The sequence below is a fragment of the Homo sapiens genome, chromosome 7 (assembly GCF_000001405.40).
Source record: "Homo sapiens chromosome 7, GRCh38.p14 Primary Assembly".
Taxonomy (NCBI): domain Eukaryota; kingdom Metazoa; phylum Chordata; class Mammalia; order Primates; family Hominidae; genus Homo; species Homo sapiens.
Window position 1 is genome coordinate 63,711,740 of NC_000007.14, and position 7,490 is coordinate 63,719,229.

A 7,490-nucleotide genomic window follows, 5' to 3' on the forward strand; every position below is an offset into this window, starting at 1 on the left:
TAAGTAGGAGATATTTACAGTGTAAGGTGTTAAGGTCTGGGGTAGAATTAAGTAGAATAAGGGGTTGAGGAGGCAGAGGGTGTGATTGGGGCAGCCTTGATGATATGTGATGAGCACATTCTGCAGTTGGCCTCACCTCTTTCTAAAACTTCCACTTTTTTCACTCTCACCTTCAACAATTGGTTCTTTTTTATTTTATAGAAAATTTGTTAGAATTAGGTTTATATATTTTCTTGAATTAACAGAATAATTTAACATCACTCTCTAGTGTGACTAAAAGCCTCTAATCCTTTACTGTTTTTTGTTTATGGGCATATTTGTTTTTACAGCTATAATAATTATTTCATTTTGTGTGGTTTCTCAAAAACACATGTTTCTTATATCAAAGAGTCTCTATACTAGAGTCCTTCAGATTTGGTGCTAATAACATTAAGAATTTAAGACAGGTCTTGAGATGTTAGAGGAAAGCCAGTCTAAGAACACAGAAATTAATTGTTAATTTATTTTGAGTTGACATTTAAGTTGAGGTGTGGAGGTGGAGGAGACAGTTGGATAAATGAGTTTGGAAGTAAGGAGAAAGATCTGGGAATAGATACAATTTTGGATTTTATAGTTGCGTTTTCATAGCAATTGTTGTTACTGCCAAAATAATTCATCAGTGAGCTCCCTGACAGCTCCCCAACCTTTCTTTTTAAAGAAACAGGATTGGCAGGGTGTGGTGGCCCATGTCTGTAATCCCAGCATTTTGGAAGGCAGATCACCTGAGGTCGGGAGTTCAAGACCAGCCTGACCAGCATGGAGAAACCCCATCTCTACTAAAAATACAAAATTAGCTGGGTGTGGTGGTGTGTGACTGTAATCTCAGCTACTTGGGAGGCTGAGGCAGGAGAATAACTTGAACCCGGGAGACAGAGGTTGCAGTGAGCTGAGATCCCACCATTGCACTCCAGCCTGGGTAACAAGAGTCAAACTCCATCTCAAAAAAAACCAGGGTCTTGTTATGTTGTCTGGGCTGGACTAGAACTCCTGTGCTCAAGTTATCCTCCTGCCTCAGTCTCCTAAGTAGCTGGGGCTACAGGCACATGCCAGCATGTCCAGCTTTGAGCCACTCCCACCCATCATGTTGTAAAATATTTAAATGTTACAGAGGTGTGAGGGAGATGTGTATATAAACAGCACAGTAAATTGCTTGAATCTTTTTTTAGAGTTCTGTTTGGATGTGGCTTCAGAGCAGGGATTAATCAATTTATTTATACTTTTTTCTTTTCTTTTTTTTTTTTTTTGAGGTGGATTCTCACTCTGTCACCCAGGTTGTAGTGCAGTGGCGAAGTCTCAGCTCACTTCAGCCTCTGCTTCCTGGATTCAAGTGATTCTCTTGCCTCAGCCTCCTGAGTAGCTGGGACTACAGGTACCTGCCACCATACCTGGCTGACTTTTTTTTGTTTTTTGTATTTTTGGTAGAGACAGGCTTTCACCATGTTGACCAGGCTGGTCTCGAACTCCTGACTCATGTGATCCACCTGTCTCAACCTCCCAAAGTGCTGGGATTACAGGTATGAGTCACTGCGCCTGGCTGTTTTATTTTACATTTTTAAATTACAATTTTTATACCTATTCAGAAGTAGAGAAAATAGTACAATGACCGCTAAAATACCCATTCCTCAATTTCTGTGATCTTTAAGATTGTCCCACGTTTTGTTCTTCTGTTCTTTTACCTCCCTTTGCAGGAATATTGTAAAGCAAATCAGTCATCACATCATTTTATCTGTTCAGTGTGCATCCCCGAACAGCATTTATGTATTCCTACACAGCCACTATCTCATCACATCTGACAAAATGAACAATGATTTTTTTGGTATCAGCTCATATGCAGCCCTTAGCTGAGTCTCCTCACTCTTTTCTTTCTTTCTTTCTTTTTTTTTTTTTTTTTTTTGAGACAGAGTCTTGCACTGTCGCCCAGGCTGCAGTGCAATGGTCTAATCTCGGCTCACTGCAGCCTCTGCCCCCTGTGCTCCAACAATTCTCCTGCCTCAGCCTCCTGAGGAGCTGGGATTACAGGCGCATGCCACCACACCCGGCTAATTTTTGTATTTTTAGTAGAGACGGGGTTTCGCCATATTGGCCAGGCTGGTCTTGAACTCCTGACCTCAGGTGATCCTCCCACCTCGGCCTCCCAGAGTGCTGGGATTACAGGTGTGAGCCACTGCACCTAGCCAAGTTTCCTCACTCTTACCTGAACAGTATCTCATTTTCTCATTATCTGAAAAATTTTGCTTTAAATCTGGATCCAAACAATCTTCATGTGCTAACTTTGGTTGTTATGCCTCTTGTAATCTAAACAGGCCTCTGCTTACTTTTTAAATTTCCCATTCCATTAATTCTTTGTGCAAAGTTTTTTATTTTTATTTATTTTTTTAATAGCATGCTCACAAGGTTGAAGGGGTAGTAAAGAAGATCTTGTTGTTTCCGTGTAGATGAAAGTTTAGCCTGAAATGTGCCAGTTTGCAGCAACCAAAGGAGGAGGGTTATTACGGTCTTGAGCAGTTAGTAGCAAAGGGCTGCTTCCAAATAGTATTTGCAGGCCAGGTGCAGTGGCTCACACCTATAATCCCAGCACTTTGGGAGGCTGAGGTGGGTGGATCACCTGAGGTAAGGAGTTCGAGACCAGCCTGGCCAACATGGTGAAACCCCATCTCTACTAAAAATACAAAAAATTAGCCAGGCATGGTGGCTGGCACCTGTAATCCCAGCTACTCGGGAGGCTGAAGCAGGAGAATCACTTGAAGCTGGGAGGCAGAGGCTGCTATGAACTGAGATCACAGCACTGCACTCCAGCCTGGGCAACAGAGTGAAACTCTGCAACAACAACAACAACAACAGTAAAAAAGTAAGTTCTATTTGCCACTGAAGTCATTTCTGGAATTAAAACAATAAAATGACATTTCTACTAAAATGTTTTTCTAGCTAGAGGTGACAAGTGTGGCCATAAGTCCTTCATGGAAAAGCCTGGCTCTGAGCTGCAGTCCTGGCACTTTCCATTGCCCCTGAAGCCCCCAATCCTGTACACAGCCATCTTCATCAGTGCAAGAATAGTGACCACTGCCTCCATGGTGTTTAGAGGCACCATGGTGGCTCACAGTACACCTAAGTACTTGAATGAAGTCTAATTTGCTGGATTTTATCTGCTCTGTTATTCCTGGGTCAGTCTTAAGAGTGACTAAATATTGATGATTGAGTTTCTTTTCTTTTCTTTTCTTTTCTTTTTTTTTTGAGGCAGAGTTTTACTCTCGTTGCCCAGGCTAGAGTCCAGTGGTGTGATCTCCACTCACTGCAACCTCCACCTCCTGGGTTCAGGTGAGTCTCCTGCCTCAGCCTCCTGAGTAGCTGGGATTACAGAAATGCGCCACCATACCTGGCTAATTTTTGTGTTTTTAGCAGAGATGGGGTTTCACCAAGTTGGTCAGGCTGGTCTTGAACTCCTGAACTCAGGTGACCCACCCGCCTTGGCCTTTCAATGTGCTGGAATGACAGGCATGAGCCACCATACCCGGCCTGATGTGATGATTGAGTTTCTTACTATATCTGTGTTCCTGCAGAATTTTAGTGGCTGAAGAAAATACACTAGTGTTGATTTTCTTTTTCATGAAAGAAGTAATTTATTCTTCATATAATTACTTGCCAGTCATGGGAAGGAAATGTCAGGGTTTTTGTACACAATGATAGGAATTATTGTTACATTACAGGGTGACTCTGCGAACTCCTTTTGAAAAAACTCTCATCATATCAGGACTGTTTTACTAGCTGTTAGACCACCATTGTACTGGCTACTATAACATTTCTTGGTATTCTTTCTTGACTTGAACTAATTATTTCCTACTTGCCACACTAAAGGTAAGAGATTACATGTACTTCCTGTTATATTTCACTGCATTAAGACATTCTTTATCAGCATTTCTTAAAATCATAGAGAGTCATTGGCCAATATCTTTGTGGGACTTGCAGTTGGTTTCTTAGCTTTTTAAGTTATGTTATTTAATGGACCTCTTTTTCTTTTTTCTTTTTTTTTTTTTTAAATTTCACTGGAAATGTCACATTTGCAATCCTACTTTATGCATGTTTCCATGGCTTTTTTGAGCCGCCTGTAGAGGACTACACTACAAGTTTAATTCTGCAGGTTTCTTCGCAAAGAGTCAAACTGTATGAATTTTAATACTCTACTCTTATAAAACATCTCCTTTTGTATTTTTTTCCTACAACATACTAAAGTAATTCTGTGCTTATTTTACAACTTTCAGTCCCCAAAAAGACCATGAAGGCCTGAGAGTAATGAAAATCTTCCTGAAATTGAGGTCACTGTGGAAGGTAAGGGCCAGTCATTGGCATGTTTCTGTTGATTCTTCAGTTTAATAGTTATGCTAATTCACTAGCTATGTGTTTATGCAGATGAAGTTAACCAAACTAGTTTTACATGTGAACAGCTGCCTTTGATAAAGCTAAATTTCTGAAAGTTTTTAATTCAAATTTTGAAAATCATTAGCAGAAAATAAATAACTTTGATCACATCATAAACTGCATTCAGGAAAATCTCCACAATGCTTTTCCTTTATTACAACAAATAAGAATGGAGAGGGGCACGTGGAATGTTTCTTGATCTTTTGTCCTCTTTGTTTTTTCTGTTCTTTTAAGGAAAGAAAGTTTAGGGGTAGTTTAAACAGCAGTGCCTGGAATGAAAATATTTCCTACAACACCCTCTAATGTACTTCCTTTTCTCCATGCCCACGGGGTCTCCAGGATTCTCATCTTTTCATGTTTACAATATTAAAATACTTCATACAGTGCCAAAGACAGTTCCCAGCCAACCATCAAATATGGGTATTTCTTCCATCTCCTCATGAATGCAAAAGGAAATAACTGCATTAGGATTTTTTTTTTTTTTTGAGACAGATTAGGGCTGTAGGAATAGTGTTACCAGGAATAACTTGTGGATTGTTTACTACTGCAGTCAGCTGTGATTTTCCAAATAGGGAGATGCCTGTTTTTCTCACATAAGAGTAATTGTGCTGGTAGGCTCAGGCTGACATTGGTTCAGTTGCTCAAACATGGTAAGACTGGCTTCCCTGTGCTTCTCTTCACTTTTCTTTCTGGTGCACGGTGATGGAGGGAGCTCCTGTCATCATGTCTCCATCCAAGCAGGACATAAATAAGTAAAGAAAATGCAGCATGAGCCCTGCCTGTAACCATGATCAGGAAAAGCAAGAGGCGTTTTTTGAATCCTAGCACAATTTTGCATAAGTCTCTTGGTTTTAAAAAAGATGAATTTTAAAATAGTAAAATAATATAAAGCACAAATTCTGAGGCCAAAGTGATAGGATTTAAATCTGTGCTCTGCCACTTAGGAAAATTACTTAAATTCTCTGTTATTTAGGTTGCACCCTGTAAAATGGGAGGAGGAAAATAATATTTGACTCATAGTTTTTAAAAATCGAGATTTTTTTTTTTTTTTTTATTTCTGAGGTGGAGTTTTGCTCTTATTACTCAGGCTGGAGTGCAGTGGTGTGATCTCGGCTCACTGCAACCTCCGCCTCCCAGGTTCAAGTGATTCTCCTGCCTCAGCCTCTCGAGTAGCTGGGATTAAGGTGCCCACCACCATACCCAGCTAAGTTTTTGTATTTTGAGTAGAGATGGGGGTTTCACCATGTTGGCCAGGCTGTTCTCCAACTCCTGACCTCAGGTGGTCTGCCGACCTCAGGTGGTCTGCCCACCTCAGTCTCCCAAAGTGCTGGGATTACAGGCATGAGCCACCGCACCTGGCTGAGATATTTCTTTAATAAACAACTGCTGTCATTTCAGACCACTTGCTATTTAGGCACTTAGGAATTTTTTACTAGAAGGCATGTAAAGAAAGATGATGGGCATTTGTAATGGATTCAGCATTCATCATTTGACTGCATGACTGACCCCCAGAGATATGATTTTATTAAAGAATTTTTCAGAAGCCACTTAGCTAGTAACTGAGCCTAACCAGACACCCACCCTCACCATTCAGTGCTCTTTTGTTCTTCTCTGTTTCTCCTCAAACTTTATTACTCTCACAAAGTGATAAAAACTTGCATTTCTTTTCTTTCCTTTGTAGAGACAGGGTCTTGCTCTGTTACTCAGGCTGCAGTGCAGTGGTGTGATCATGGCTTGCTGTAGCGTCATATTCCTGGGATCAAGTAATACTCCCACCTCAGCTTCCCAAGGAGCTGGGACTATAGACGTACAACAGCATGCAAAGCTAAATTTTTTATTTTTTATTTTATTTATTTATTTTTATTTGTTTTTGAGATGGAGGTTTTTGTTTTTGTTTTTGTTTTTGTTTTGTTTTGTTTTGTTTTAAAGACAGGGCCTCACTGTGCTTCCCAGGCTGGTCTCAAACTCCTGGCCTCAAGCAATCCTCCTGCCTTGGCTTCTGAAATTGCTGGAATTATAAGCAGGGGGTACAATACCTGGCCTCCTATGTTCTCTAGCCTTCTCTTTGCTTTTTGGTAGCCAATCTCTCATTATGCTGTTGCCTTGTTATAATTAATACTTTTTTGTTTTGAATTTTACCACTTTAAATTTTCGAGTGGTTTGTGTCTCCTGATTGGACTCCTACAAATAAAGAATTGATGCTAGGAAGGGTACCAGGAGATGGACCCACACAGATGGGATTTGGGCATAGGTTTGGTTATCCAAGGGGCAGCGCTGAGCTCCTTGCCAATGGGATATGGGATGCTGGTCATTTCCAGGAAGTGACCTCACAATGACTCAAACTACCACTTACTGTTGATTGTGATGAATTGCCAGCTGAGGCACATACCTTGGGAGCTAAGTAGTTGCTGCACTTGACCACTATGAAGATTGGTGTGGGAAGGGTCCTTTTGGATGCACTTGAGCAGGGGCCCCTAATCCCTGGGTCACAGGCCTGTATTGGGCCACACAGCAGGAGGTGAGCAGCGGGTGGGTGAGTGAAGCTTCATCTGTATTTACAGCCACTCCCCACATTACTGCCTGATCTCGGGCTCCTGTCAGATCAGCGGCAGCTTTAGATTCTCATAGGAGCACGAATCCTATTGTGAACTGTGCATGTGAGGGATCTACCTTGCTCTGTTCTTATGAGAATCTAATGCCTGATAATCTATGACTGTCTCACATCACCCCCAGATGGGACCATCTAGTTGCAGAAAAACAAGCTCAGGACTCCCACTGATTCTACATTATGGTGAGTTACATAATTATTTCATTACATACTACAATATAATAATAATAGAAATAACGTACACAATAAATGTAATTTACTTGAAATATTCCAAAACTGACCTGCTGCCCCCAGTCTGTGGAAAAATTGTCTTCCACAAAACCAGTCCCTGGTGCCAAAAAAATTGGGGACCGCTGCACTTGAGCACTTACAGAGAGAAAAACAAAAAGTTCAAGTCTTTACCTCTCAGCATAAGTTGCGGTCTAAGATC

General features: G+C 41.0%; 1 long non-coding RNA gene across 2 annotated transcripts; it reads left to right on the forward strand.

The window, feature by feature from the left end:
- Positions 1 to 2,847: 2,847 nt before the first annotated feature.
- Positions 2,848 to 7,224, forward strand: LOC105375314 (uncharacterized). Of its 2 annotated transcripts, none has more exons than XR_927569.1 (3): positions 2,848 to 2,887; positions 4,296 to 4,362; positions 7,186 to 7,224. It is a non-coding gene; the product is annotated as an uncharacterized LOC105375314 (long non-coding RNA). The 2 variants fall into 2 exon arrangements; XR_927568.2 differs by lacking the exon at positions 2,848 to 2,887 and adding an exon at positions 3,764 to 3,891.
- Positions 7,225 to 7,490: the final 266 nt, after the last annotated feature.